Source organism: Homo sapiens, chromosome 16, assembly GCF_000001405.40.
Source record: "Homo sapiens chromosome 16, GRCh38.p14 Primary Assembly".
Lineage (NCBI taxonomy): Eukaryota > Metazoa > Chordata > Mammalia > Primates > Hominidae > Homo > Homo sapiens.
The window spans coordinates 19914233-19929931 of record NC_000016.10 but is presented as its reverse complement, the minus strand read 5'-3'; the positions used below and the strand labels follow the sequence as shown (position 1 = coordinate 19929931).

General features: G+C 43.2%; 1 long non-coding RNA gene across 1 annotated transcript; it reads right to left on the bottom strand.

Moving 5' to 3' along the window:
* Positions 1-702: 702 nt before the first annotated feature.
* LOC105371116 (uncharacterized) lies at positions 703-6330 on the bottom strand. Its single transcript, XR_950894.2, has 3 exons — positions 6210-6330; positions 924-1045; positions 703-804 (listed from the first exon to the last, which is right to left on the bottom strand). It is a non-coding gene; the product is annotated as an uncharacterized LOC105371116 (long non-coding RNA).
* Positions 6331-15699: the final 9369 nt, after the last annotated feature.

Genomic DNA, 15699 nt, shown 5'->3' with positions numbered 1-15699 from the left:
TCGATCCTTCAGTTAAACAACCTAAAAAATACCTATTGGAGGGTTGTTTGGTTTGATTGCTTGGCTGGGTGATGATATATTACCCAAGCGTGCATGGTATAACCCCCACTAAGTTAAATGGGCATGTGGTGTGACTCCACCACACCATGCAGAAATGCTGAACTAACTCTCCAGAGGAATTATGGTACCAACTAACACTTACATATAGCCGCTATCACGTGTCAAGTGCTATTCTGTGTGTTTTACATAGACGTGTGGATGAATTTAATCCTGTCAATAGCCCTCAGAGGTCGGTATTGTTGTTATCACCCTCATCTTACATATGGGGAAACCGAGGCATGGAATTTCAGGCACTTGCCTGGCATGACCCAGTTGGATCTGACCCCAGACTCTCTGGCTCCAGAGTCTGTGCTGTCAGTGGCTGTGCCATGCCATCTGTCCAAGGGTCTCAAAGTGAAGGGAGATTACAACCCCACTGTCCTCCGTCCACGCCCCCAGCCACGTTCCTCTATGATCCAGCTGCTCCAAAGAGCCTGTTGGTCCCTGGGAAGAAACAGTCTCGTTGGATCCTCTCTGAAAGCTAATTCGGCCATTTACTCTCAATTTGTAGCGGATGCTGTCGTCTCTCAGATTTCAAAGAAGATGAATGCATGGGTCAAATTGGATTAAAAAGTTTAATTGAATAAGACAGAACCAGACAGCTTGATGGAAGACTTTGATCCGATAAAGGAAGAGGAGAAAGGCGTGCTCCTAACGCCGGGGTGTGATGGGGAGCTGTCTGGACCTCGTCTAGCCTCTTCTCATCTGCAGGAAAATCAGTTATGCCAATTATGGGTGAGATTGCCCTGGGGTGGTGTGGGGAAGACTGTTCCGAGGCATTTTCCAGATCATCATGTCCCGAAACAGGCTGACAGCTTGCCTACCTTCCTGTTCCATCTCCGCCTCCCGACAAACCCAGTTCTGAGCCTCTGAAACTGAGGGATCTTGCCTTAGACCTCACAAAACCCCTGTATCCTGGCCATAACAGGAACCCTACAAAAGAGATCTAAAAGAGAGAGAGAGATTGAGAAAGAGACACACACACCCATTAAACCAATGACCTGCAGGGAAGTCCAACCTATAGACTTGTTTAGTGGACACAGTGTTTTGTTTCCTTCCTAATTAGGAGATTTCCCATTGTATAATCCATATTTGTGTCTTCTCTTTAAATCTTGCTATTCAAAGTGAGGTCCACAGACCAGTAGCATTGGCACCAACTGGGAGCTTGTCAGAAATGCAAGAATCCCGGGGCCCACCCTAGATGTTCTGAACCACAATTTGCATTTTAACATTGAAGTTTGAAGGGTTTGCTTTAAAGCAGTGGTTCTCACCCACTGTGTGCATATCAGAATCACATGAAGAGCTTTGAAAAATCCAGGTGCTAAGCTCACATGCCATCTTTGAATTCAGAATCTCTGAGATTGGAACTCAAACTCCCAGGTTATTCCAATGGGAGGCCAAAGTTGAAAATCAATAGATTAGGCTGGGTGCTGTGGCTCACGCCTGTAATCCCAGCACTTTGTGAGGCCAAGGCAGGTGGATCACAAGGTCAGGAGTTCAAGACCAGTCTGTCCAAGATGGTGAAACCCCATCTCTACTAAAAATACCAAAAAAAATTAGCCAGACGCAGTGGCAGACACCTGTAATCCCAGCTACTTGGGAGGCTGAGGCAGGAGAATTGCTTGAACCCAAGGGGCGGAGGTTGCAATGAGCCAAGATCACACCACTGCACTCCAGCCTAGGCGACAGAGTGAGCCTCCGTCTCAAAAAAAAAGAAAAAAGAAAGAAAATCAGTAGATTAAAATCAGAAAATCTAGGCCAGCTGTGGTGGCTCATGCCTGTAATCCCAGGACTTTGGGAGGCTAAGGCAGGAGGATTGCTTGAGCCCAGGAGTTTGAGACAAGCCTGAGAAACACAGTGAGACCTTCACTTCTACAAAAAAATAAATAAATAAGTAAACAAAATTAGCCTGGTGTAGTGATGCACACCTGTGGTCCCAGCTATTCCAGAGGCTGAGGTGGGAGGATCACATGAGCCCAGGAGGTCAAGGCTGCAGTGAGCCGAGATGGTGCCATTGCACTCCAACCTGGGTAACAGAGCAAGACTCTGTCCCAAAAAATAATAATATAAAAAAATTAGAATATCTGACAACACTGGGTTCCTATTCCATGTGATAAAAGTGGCCAGAGCTGAGGAACCGGGCTTCAATTTCACCTCTTTTCATGCATTTTCATAACCTGCCGGATGCCACATGCCTATGATCCCTGGTGAATTTATATGCTTGAAGTCCCTGAAGCTCTTCTCCCTGTTGGCCCCTCTCCCCCTCTCCCTACATTCCCCATCTCCCCTCCTTCTAGGAGGACCATTATCAAGAGGCAATTTGCAGTTTCTGACTATTGGGGCTCAGAAAATAACATCCCAAAATAAAGGCCTCAGAAGCAAAAGTTTTTTCTGACCTTCTCCTGCCCTTCTGTCTCTCAGCCTCATTCTCAGCCAAGGCTAGCCAGAGAAACTAGAATCCCTCTTCCTCAAGCAGGTCTTTTCCCCAAACCCAGCCATAACCCTAAAAATGTTAATCTAACTTTCCCTCCACCTTTCTGTGTAAAAACTGGCATAAAGAAATTCTCTGACCTACCTTGTTTGACAGTAGGTCATAAGACTCCCATTCTAGAGAAGATCCTGCCCCACACCCAGAAGGAAGGAACGATTCTCAGGGAGGCCAAGGTGAATCTAGACGGGCCTTGCTAGGGGTCCCCACTCAGTCTATTATAATTCGATCATATCCTTTTTGTCAAGTCATATTGTATTTCTACATGGCTATCTATATTTTATTGAACCTAAGCATAAAAATGGACAATTCCCCTGTTCCTTTGGATCTTCATTGTGAAGTTTCCTGTGTATACACATTAAATAAATTTGCATGCCTTTTTTCTAATCTGCTTTTGCAAGTTGATTTTTCAGCAAAACTTCAAAGAGCCAAGGGGATCTTTCCCCCTTGGACTCTACATAACCAAGCAAATATGCACCCAGCCTATGACTCAGCAATTCCACTCCAAGGCCAGCATCCCAGAGGAAATGAACACACGTGACCACAAGAAGACTTGAACAAGAACATTCATAGCAGCTTTACTATAGCGGCACACATTAGGTGTTCAATACATGTAAGTTCTCTCCTCCAAACACCCTCTCCATACAAAAATATGGACTATTCAACAGCAAAAACATAATGAGTAGAGGTGGGTTTTTAATTAGTGCACAGATAATGTAGCATGTGTAGCAGCCAGAATTATGTCCCCAAAGATGTCTACATCCTAATCCCCAGAATCTATAAATATATTTTGTTTCATGGCAAGGGAGAATTAAGAATACAGATGGGGCCGGGCCCTGTGGCTCACACTTGTAATCCGAGCAGTTTGGGACGCCAAGGCAGGTGGATCACCTGAGGTCAGGAGTTCGAGACCAGCCTGGCCAACATGGTGAAACCCCATCTCTACTAAAAACACAAAAATTAGCCAGGCATGGTTGCGGGCACCTTTAATCCCAGCTACCTGGGAGGATGAGGCAGGAGAATCACTTGAACCCAGGAGGTAGAGGTTGCAGTGAGCCGAGATGGTGCCATTGCACTCCAGCCTGGGCGACAAGAGCAAAACTCCACCTCAAAAACAAAACAAAAGAATATAGATGGAAATTAAGGTTATTAATCAGCTGACCTTGAGGTGGGAGGAACTTTTCTGGACTACCCAGGGGAAGGATCCAGTGTCTATATCACAATGGTCCATAAATGTGAAAGAGGCAGGCAGAACAGTGAGTTCAAAGTGATGCAGCATCATAAAGAATCAACTGGGCAGTGCTGGCGTTGTAGAGGGAAGGAGACACAAGCCAAGGAATGCAGGCAGCCTCTAGAAGCCGGGAAAGGCAAGAAAATGGATTCTCTCCTAGATGCTCCACAAAGAACACAGCCCTGCTGACTCTCGGATTATAGCTCAGGGGGAACTGTTTCAGATTTCTGACCTCCAGAACTGTCAGATAACAAATTTGTGTTGTTTTAACCCACTGAGTTTGTGGTCATTGTCACAGCAGCCATAGGAAATTAATGCAGCATGATTTGGAGGCTGAAGGAAACACAACAAAACAAATCTTTTCCCAGAAGGATGAAAAAAGTTAAAATATTCCAGCCAGAAAGACATTCTAAATCTTCATCTAGCTAGTGATTACACAGGCATATACATATGTAAATGTATTATTATATATCAATTTAAAAGCTTAAAAGCTATGGTGAACACAGGTGTACACATATGTAGATTTTCTTTACTATAGCTGTATTATTACATATCAATTAAAAAGTTAAAAAGCCATTATAGGCTGGGCAGGGTAGCTCAAGCCTGTAATCCCAGCACTTTGGGAAGCTGAGGCGGGCAGATCACTTAAGATCAAGAGTTCAATACCAGCCTGGCCAACATAGTGAAACCCCATCTCTATTAAAAATACAAAAATTAGCCAGGTGTGGTGGTGCACACCTGCAGTCCCAGCTACTCGGGAGGCTGAGGCAGGAAAATCACTTGAACCCAGGAGACAGAGGTTGCAGTAAATGGAGATCGTGCCACTGCACTCCAGCCTGGGCAACAGAGCGAGACTCAGCCAGAATGGCGATTATTAAAAAGTCAGGAAACAATAGGTGCCAGTGAGGATGTTGAGAAATAGGAACGCTTTACACTGTTGGTGGGAGTGTAAATTAGTTCAACCATTGTGGAAGACAGTGTGGTGATTCCTCAAGGATCTAGAACCAGAAATACCATTTGACCTAGCAATTCCATTACTGGGTATATATCCACAGGATTATAAATCATTCTACTATAAAGACACATGCACATGTATGTTTATTACAGCACTATTTACAATAGCAAAGACTTGGAACCAACCCAAATGCCCATCAATGATAGACTGGCTAAAGAAAATGTGGCACATTACACCATGGAATACTATGTGGCCATAAAAAAGAATGAGATCATGTCTTTTGCAGGGACATGGATGAAGCTGGAAACCATCATTCTCAGCAAACTAACACAGGAACAGAAAACCAAACACCACATGTTCTCACTCGTAAGTGGGAGTTGAACAATCAGAACACATGGACACAGGCAGGGGAACATCACACACCGGGGCCTGTTGTGGGGTGAGGGGCAAGGGGAGGGAGAGCATTAGGACAAAAACCTAATGCATGCGGGGCTTAAAACCTAGATGACGGGTTGATAGGTGCAGCAAACCACCATGGCACATGTATACCCATGTAACAGACCTGCACATTCCCCACTTGTATCCCAGCACTTAAAGTAAAATTTAAAATAAAAATAAAAATAAAAAAAGCCATTATGAGCCAGGCATAGTGGCTTAAGCCTGTAATTCCAGCACTTTGGGAAGCCGAGGTGGGTGGATCACTTAAGGTCAGGAGTTCGTGACCAACCTACCCAACATGGTGAAATCCCATCTCTACTGAAAATACTAAATTAGCCGGGCATGCTAATGCATGCCTGTAATTCCAGCTACTCCGGAGGCTAAGGCAAGAGAATTGCTTGAACCTGGGAGGCAAATGTTGTAGTGAGCTGAGATCGTGCCACTGTACTCCAGCCTAGGCAACAGAGCAAAACTCCATCTCAAAAAAATTTTCAAAAAAAGCCATTATGAATATCATGATTATACCTTTTCAGACAACACTCCCCAAGTGTTCAGCCAAGTAGAGGCGAGCAAGGTGCCGCTTAGAGCAGAGGGGGGCCAAGTTCATCAGGAAGTACAGGCTTGGGGAAGAAGCCAGCTTCACCCTCCAACTCCCCTCTCTGTATGTCTCTCATTTCTTGCTTTCCTACAACTTCCTCTAACATCTTTTCTCAACCATGTTTCCACAATTACCGAGGATGACTACACAATTTTGTTTGCCCAAAAAAATCCTTATTTGCACCTGTTGTCCCAGTATAACTATTAACAGTGTGTCCTGGTTTGAATGACAAGTTATACAACCACCCACCTTGAATAAATTGTTGAAAAAGTGACACTTGGGGTGAATGCACCCCGAGGAAGAAATCACTGCCCCTACTACACCACACCTCAATGCTTGAGTTATAGAAAAACAAACAGAAGCAAGAAATCCCACACTCTTTGGGTCTCAGCACACTCACCCACTCTGCCCCACTGACCGCAATGGCCTCATCAGCACAGGGATGATAAGCTCAGAACAGCCAGGCATATGGATCTATAAAACCTCACTCACGTCCTGCTCCAGTCACAAACCAAACTGCCCACTCCATCCTCCCTGGGCAAAACCTGTGTGCTTAAAAGCGTCACGTGAGACCCATTCAAAGTAATTAACAACCTGTTTGAGGTCATAAACCAGCCCCACCTTCCGGAACTTTCCCCAACCTTGAGTCTTAGATGAAAGGCAGACAAATTTGGTTCCCAATTATCTTTGGACTGAACTTTTTTCTCCAAGTGGCTGAATGATATCCTGCCTCTTTAGGGATCGAAAACACAATCTATTTTGTGTTCAATGACTCTGGAGTCCATGTGAAAGTCACCTTGTGGGAGTGGTCTGGTGAACCTGGCCCAGGGCTGCCCAGTGAGGGCTGGTTTCCAAGTGGTGAGAGGGTCATTAGATTCTGGTCTGTGGCTCAATTGCCTACTGACACTGGAGACACAATAGCACCTCCACTTGGTCAGCTGACAGTCAGCATCAACAACCTAACTTATGGGTGGAGGAGTCTTTGGATGATTCTGATCTCCAGCCTTCAAATCTTCCAGCTGAGGACCTAGACATCATAAAACAGAGACAATCCATTTCATTGTGCCCTGTCAGAAGTCCTGGTCTGCAGAAACTGTGACAGATAATATATTATCATTATTTAAGCCACTATGTTCTGGGATAATTTGTTATGCAGCAATTGATAACTAATACACAAAGAACTTAATGATGCCATCTCATGCAGCATCCAGATACAATATTTACAGAAGGACTGTGATGAGTACTGTTTGATGTATGTAACCATCTCTGAACCAATCACTGGATTCAGGGGAAGTCTATATTATGATTGGCCCAGCCAATGGCCAAAGTGGTACACTATAATTGACAACTTCACCTGCAAGAGAAAGAGAGGGAAAGGGGTTCTCCCAAGAGAACAATGCTGGCAGATAAAAACAATGTCAAGTACAATGACCTCATTGTTTGGCCATCTCCTACTCCTGTCTTTCTTGCTCCTAATAGCTGTGGTAATGTCTTCTTCTGATGCCAAAACTGTTAACCCATTATGATTGAAGATATCTCCACTGATGGTTCCATAGATAGCTGTGCTAGAACTTCTGACACCAAGGCCTGTCTCCCATGGAAGCTGGAGCCTTCAACCCACTGATGCTTTGAGCTACATTGTTACTTTTCTTTTATGGTTATTTTACTTTACTTTATTTTACTCCTGGCCTTAGAAATCAAGTATCATTCTCAATGAGATGTGTGACAGACACTGGGCTGTACCACCAAGTCACTCAACTTCTGCTCCAGTTATGGTGTTTGAACCAAACACATGCTCCCCAATGCCCCTGTTTACTTAGAAAAGTGGTCCTCAGGTGGGTTGCGGTGGCTCACAACTGTAGTCCCAACACTTTGGGACAAGAGGGGATGATTACTTGAGGGCTGGAGTTCAAGACCAGCCTGGGAAATATAGCAAGACCCTGTCTCAAGAGAAATTTTAAAAATGTAGCCAGGTATGGTGGCATGTGACTGTAGTCCAAGCTACTTGGGAGACTGAGGCAGGGGGATCACATGAACCCAGGAGTTAGAGGCTGCAATGAGCTATGATCATACCACTGCACTCCAGTCTAGGCAACAGAGCAAGACCCAGTCTCTAAAGACAAAAAAAAAGTGGTCTCAACTTTGGATGCTCATTACAATTACCTGGGGAGACTTTAGAAACAATCTAATCAAGGTCCTACCCAAGCCAAATATATTAGATTCTCAAGGGGTGAGGCCTGAGCACTTGTATTTTTTAAAGCCTTCACCTAAGATTCCAGAGTTACAGCCAGCATTGAAGCCACTGGTTTGGCGAGGTCTGCCCCCGAATCAATTACACTCCCCGAAGGTCCCGAGGTCACCCTCATGGCCATCACACTTCCTTCCCTGTCTTCACCAACGGCAAGTTCTATCTATTCTACTGATATAGTTAAGTTTTGTGTCCCCACCCAAATCTCATCCTGAATTGTAATCCCCATAATCCCCATGTGCCAAGGGAGAGACCAGGTGGAGGTAACTGAATCATGGGGGTGGTTCCCCCATGCTGTTCTCATGATAGTGAGTGAGTTCTCACGAGACCTTATGGTTTTGTAAGGGACTCTTCCCCCTTCGCTCAGGATTTTTCCTTCCTGCCACCTTGTGAAGAAGGTGCCTTGCTTCCCTTTCTCCTTCCATGATTGTAAGTTTCCTGAAGCCTCCCCAGCCATGCGAACTATGAGTCAATTAAACCTCTTTCCTTTATAAATTACCCAGTCTTGGGCAGTTCTTTATAGCAGTATGAAAACAGACTAATACATCTACCTACTAAACATCTCTGGTGTCTCTCCACTTCAATCCAGCTTCATTGCCATAGCTCAGCACAAACCACCGTCATAACATCACTTGCTCAACTACAGTGAAGACTTCCCACTGTTTCCCTCACCCTGCTGCTCCTTCCATTTCTCCCTCTGTAATGCATCTCCATAACACCTGCCAGAGTGATCCTTTTAAAACCTAAATTGGGCAATGCCATGCCCTTGCTTAAAAAACATGATGACAAATTGGATCACACCAACTTAAAAATCTTCTGCACAGCAAAGAAAACAATTAACTAAGTGAAGAGACAACCCCAAAATTGGAGAAAATATTTGCAAACTATCCATCTGACAAGGAATTAATAACCAGAATACATAAGGAGCTCAAACAACTACAGAAAAAAAATCTAATTATCCAATTTAAAAATGGGCAAAAGATCCAAATAGACAGTTCTCAAAAGAAGATATACAAATGGCAAATAGATATATGAAAAAGTGCTCAACATCACTGATCGTCAGAGAAATGCAAATCAAAACTACAATGAGATATCATCTCACCCCAATTAAAATGGCTTTTATCCAAAAGACAGGAAATAACAAATGCTGACGAGGAGATGGAGGAAAGATAACTCTAGTATACTGTTGTTGGTGAAAATGTAAATTAGTACAACCACTATGGTGAACAGTTTGGAGGTTCCTCAAAAAACTAAGAATAAAACTACTATATGATCTAGCAATCCCACTAGGTATATACACAAAATAAAGAAAATCAGTACATTGAAAAGATATCTGCACTCCCATGTTTATTGCAGCACTGTTCACAATAGCCAACATTTGGAAGCAACCTAAGTGTCCATTAACAGATGAATGGATAAAGAAAATGTGGTACATATACATAGTGGAGTACTATGAGGCCATAAAAAAGAACGATATCCTGTCGTTTGCAGCAACATGGATGGAACTGGAGGACATTACGTTAAGTGAAATAAGCCAGGCACAGAAAGGCAAATTTAACATGTTCTCACTTATTTGTAGGAGCTAAAAATTAAAACAATTGAACTCATGGAGATAGAGAATAGAATGATAGTTACCAGAAGCGGGGAAGGTGAGTAGGGGGGTGGTTAATGGATACAAAAATATAGTTAAATGGACTGAATAAGATCTAGCATTTGATAGAACAACAAGATGACTACAGTCAACAATAATGTATTGTATATTTTTAAATAACTAAGAGTATAATTGGATTGTTTGTGACACAAAGAAAGGACAAATGCTTGAGGTGATGGATATCCCGTTTACCCTGATGTGCTTATTACACATTGTATGCCTGTATCAAAATATCTCATGTGCCCCATAAATACATACAGCTACTATGTGCCCACAAAAATTAAAAATTTGAATTGAAAAAACTATTCAGGGGAAAAAGCAATAAAAATACAAATAAAAGACAATACAGTATAACAACTATTTACATAGCACTTGCTTTGTATTAGGTAATATAAGTAATCTAGAGATGACTTAAAGTATCCAGGAGGGTTGCATAAGTTATGCAAATACTGCACCATTTTACATAAGACACTTCAGCGTGCATGGATTTTGGTAACCAAAGGGGTCCTAAAACCAATCCCCTACAGATACCAAGGGACCAACTGTACAAATGATTCTTAAACATAGGAAAAGGTGATCATTTCATTCATCATTTATTTTTTTTTCTTTTTTTTTTTTTTTTTTAGAGCCAGGGTCTTTCTCTGTTTCCCAGGAGGGATTGTAATAGCACAATTATAGCTCATTGCAACCCCAGCTCCTGGGCTCAAGAGATCTTTTTACCTTAGCTTCCTGAGTAACTGGGACTACAGGCACGCATCCAGGTAATTTTTTATTTTTTGGTAGAAACGGGGACGTCTCTCTGTGGCCTACCTCGTCTCAAACTCCTAGGTTCCAAAAGTCCTCCTGCCCTGGCCTTCCAAAGCACTGGGATTACAGGCATGAGTCAACACACCCAACCCATCTGAAAGTTTGGTAATGCACTGATAAGGTTTGGGGACACAGGCTGGTAAGAAGGTAAATTGGTACGACTCCATGCAGGAATTAGACAGTATCTATAAATTACGAGCACTTTTAATTTTTGAGCCACCGATTCTACTCCTAGGAATTTAACCATCTGAGATGATTGCACATGTGTGAAAATATTTAAGTACAAGGATATTCACTGCAGCATTGTCTGATGTAGCAAAAATTCAGAAACAACCCACTTCCCAACAGGAGACCAGTTAAATCAATCAGAGTACAGTCACGCAGCGGAATACGAGACAACCATTTAAACAAAAGGAGTAGTCAGATCAATGAAACAATACCAAGACATTTTATTAAATGAAATAATAATAATAAAAATAAAGTGTGAAACTGTGTGTATGATTAATGACAAAGTCATTTTAGTAATGATCATTTAATAATTGGTAATAATCATTGTTTTGTTTTGTTTTGTTTTTTCTTGAGGCAGAGTCTCGCTCTGTTGCCCAGGCTGGAGTGTAGTGGCATGATCTCGGCTCACTGCAACCTCCGCCTCCCAGGTTCAAGCAATTCTCCTGCCTCAGCTTCCCCAGTAGCTAGGATTACAGGCACGCCCCACCACGCCCGGCTAAATTTTTTGTCTTTTTAGTAGAGACGGGGTTTCACCATGTTGGCCAGACTGGTCTCAAATTCCTGACCTCAGGTGATCCACCCGCCTCGGCCTCCCAAAGTGTTGTCATTATTTTCTTGGTTCAAAGTTCAGATCTAAAATAAATAATTAAAAAATTTTAAAGAATAAATTTCCGACCGGGATCGGTGGCTCACGCCTGTAATCCCAGCACTTTGGGAGGCTGTGGCGGGTGGATCACGAGGTCAGGAGATTGAGACCATCCTGGCTAACACGATGAAACCCCATCTCTACTAAAAATACAAAAAATTAGCCGGGCGTGGTGCCAGGCGCCTGTAATCCCAGCTACTGGGAGGCTGAGGTAGGAGAATGGCCTGAACCCGGGAGGCGGACCTTGCAGTGAGCCGAGATCGTGCCACTGCTCTCCAGCCTGGGCAACAGAGCGAGACTCCATCTCAAAATAAATAAATAAATAAATAAATAAATAAATAAATAAGGATAAATTTCCATTTTAGGGATAGTCAAACTCAATATATAGCAGGTATATACTTGTATTTTACAGATAACTCTGGAAAGATGCACACACACACACACACACACACACACACACACACACACACACAAAAACTGATTTCAAAGGTAACCAGTAGTTTTGGTCCTTGGGGGGCATTAGGAGAGTGAGGTTCTGGGAGTTAGAAATGAAAAGTAAACTCACTTTTCTCCTTATGCCTTTATGCCTTTTTATACTGTTTGATTTTTTTTTTTTTTTGAGACAGAGTCTCAGTCTGTTACCCAGGCTGGCATACAGTGGCGTGATCTCAGCTCACTGCAACCTCTGCCTCCCAGGTTTAAATTATTCTCCTGCCTCAGCCTCCCAAGCAGCTGGCACCACAGGCGCGCATCCTGACACCTGGCTAATTTTTTTATATTTTAGCAGAGATGGGGTTTCCTTCAGTTGGCCAGGCTGGTCGAACTCCTGACCTCAGGTGATCCACCTGCCTCGGCCTCCCAAAGTGCTGGGATTACAGACTTGAGCCACCGTGCCTAGCCACTGTTTAATTCTATTACTATGCAAACATTGCCTTGCTCAAAACAAACAAGATGTAAAATAAAAAATAAAGGCTACACAAAACCACTTTTCCGCACCAATGTCCTCACTTTACAGATGGAAAACTGAGACCAAATAAGAGAAAGCTCCCTCTGTGCACAAAGCCTCTGGCTCTCATGGCAGTGGAGACCCCTCCCTCTGAGCTCCCAGAGCCCTTTGTTCTTCTCCAGGTTGGAGCATTGACCACGTCTTGTTGCCAACATTCTCATGCCTTGTCCATCTCTGTGCCTTCGGTATCCAGCCCAAGACGTCTTTAAACTTCTGTCATTTTTGTTCCTGCACTCATCCTGCAACTGATATTTGTTGAGAACTGATCATGGTCCAGGCACTATGCTAAGTGCTGTGAGTACATTGATAACCCTCAGGGGCAAAGTCCCTCCCGACCATAGAGACAGGGCTGCCACGTACAGCCTCACAGGATGCACACTGCACAATTTCAGAACGTGACATTCACATATGCTATTATTTAACTGGTATTCTCTGGATTTGTGCAGTGCACAACCTAGGTAACTATATACAGTTTCCCTGCCCATATTTCCAGTAGTTCAGCGGGGAAGATAAATTAAACAAAGCAGTATATATTTATTTTCATTGGAATCAGGGCAATTAAAAAAAAAGAACCATGTTGCTAAAAGAGAGAACAAATAGACAGATCTATTTTGAGTTTCACATAAGCCATTCAGAGAAAGTGATATTTATATACATTTATTTATTTATTTATTTATTTATTTATTTATTTATTTATTTATTTGATACAGAGTCTCATTCTATTGCCTAGGATCCAGGGCAGTGGTGTGATCACAGCTAACTGCAGCATTGACCTCCCAGGCTCAAGCAATCCTGCCTCAGCCTCTCAAGTCGCTGGGACCACAGGCACACACCACCATGCCCGGCTAATTTTTGCGTCTTTTGTAGAGACAGGGTTTCGCCATGTCTATCAGGCTGGTCTTGAACTCCTGGACTCAAGTGATCCACCCTCCTTGGTCTGCCAAAGTACTGGGATTACAGGTGTGAGCCACCACACCCAGCCAGAAAGTTATATTTAAACCAAGACCTGGTATTTGTCAGGAATTTTATTTAGTTGATAGTAACAGAGGCTGGACTTAGTAGCTTTAGTGAAACAGAGCTTCTTTTTTCGCTTGTTCCACAGGAAATCAGAAAGTAGGCAGCCCAGGACTGATTTGGGAGTTCCAGCAGTTATCAGGACCCCAGCCTCCTTCTGTCTTTCTGCTCCATACCCCTTAGCATGTGGTTTTCATCCTCAAGGTTGTCTCATGGTCCAAGATGGTTGCCAGAGCTCCAGCCACTACATCTGCCTCACAGACAACAACATGGGACAAGGACATTAGAGACATAAGGGACGCCTCCCCAGTCCACTTAAGGAGCTGACCATAAGTTTCACAAAATATTCCACATCCATCTCATTGGCCCAAAACTAGTTACGTGAATATCGCACGCTGGAAGAGAGGCTGGGGCATGTGAGCTCTAAAGAGTTGCCCAGGGTTTTATTACCAAAAAGGGGAAATTATGATTGAGAGGTAATACGTAGCCCCTGTTATGGACTGGGAGAATAAACGGGAGATAATTAAGTGAAAGTGTTGTGGGGAGCAGGTTCCAGGCAGAGGGAATAGCAAATACAAAGGATCCAAGAGAAGGAGGTTGGGCCGGGGCACAGCGGTTCACACCTGTAATCCCAGCACTTTTGGAGGCCAAGGCAGAAGGATCGCTTACGCCCAGGAGTTTGAGACCAGCCTGGGCAACATAGAGAGATCCCGTCTCTACAAAAAATACCAAAATAAATAAATAAATAATAGCCAGCCGCGGTGGTATGTGAATAAAAATAAAAATAAATTTAAAAAATACTCTGTTGCCCAGGCTGGAGGGCAGTGGTGCAATCATGGCTCACTGCAGCCTCGACCTCCTGGGCTCAGGTAATCCTCCCATCTCAGCCTCCTGAGTAGCTGGGACTACAGGCACATACCACCATGGCTGACTAATTTTTCAAAAATAAAAATAAAAATATTAAAAAATAAAATAAATTTTAAAATATTCAAAAATAAAAATAAAATTTAAAAATATTTTTGAATATTTTAAATATAGTGGGCCGGGCGCGGTGGCTCACGCCTGTAATCTCTGCACTTTGTGAGGCCGAGGCAGGTGGATCACCTGAAGTCAGGAGTTCAAGACCAGCCTGGCCAACATGATGAAACCCCCTCTCTACTAAAAATACAAAAACTTAGCTGGGTGTGGTGCCACACTCCTGTAATCCCAGCTACTCAGGAGGCTGAGGCAGGAGAATCACTAGAACCTGGGAGGCAGAGGTTGCAGTGAGCCGAGATTGCACCACTGCACTCCATCCTGAGCAAGAAGAGCAAAACTGCGTCTCAAAATAAAATAAAATAATAAATAAATATATATATATTTAACGAGCGAGATTCCATCTCGAATTTGAATATTTAAAATATTCAAAAAATTATATTTTAATAAAATTAAAAATAATTTTTATTTTATTCAAAAATAAAAATAAATTAAAGAAATAAAAAGAAGGAGGTTGGTCTGTTCTCAGAACTGAAAGGAGACCAGCATGGTTGGAGCACATTCAATGGGAGAAGATGAGGAACCAGGGGAAGGAGAAATACCCAGGCTCGCAGGCACATCAGCAAACCCAGCTGCATGCCTTCCACTCTGGGCGAAGCCTTGGCATCAAACAGACCCATGTTCATATTCTAACATCACCTTTTACAACTGAGAGCCCTCAGGTAAGTCTTTTAACTTACCTGAGCCTCCACTTCCTTACCTGTAAAACAAGAATTATACCTGTATGATTTCTTATTTGAATAAGAATTTGAATAATAGATTTCTTATGTGAATTAAATGAGATAATGCATATAAGGAGGTTAGCACAGCGCCTAACACATATTGAGCACACAGTATTATTGATTCGCTACACATTGACCATGAAGACTTACGTGATTGTGGCCTAGTCAAGAGTCAAGGTTGTAACTCCAGGCTCGAGCAAATTCACTGGCTTAGTGCTTAAAAGTTAGTCATAGTTAGTGCTTAACGTAAAAGTTGGGTATGGGACAGGCACAGTGGCTCAAGCCTGTAATCCCAGCACTTTGGGAGGCTGAGGCAGGCGGATCATTTGAGGTCAGGAGTTCGAGACCAGCCTGCATGGTGAAACCCCACCTCTACTAAAAATACAAAAAAAAATTAGCCAGGCATGGTGATGCATGCCTGTAATTCCAGCTACTCAGGAGGCTGAGGCACAAGAATCACTTGAACCCAGGAGGCAGAGGTTGCAGTGAACCAAGATCTCGCCACTGCACTCCAGCCTGGGCAAGAGCAAGAT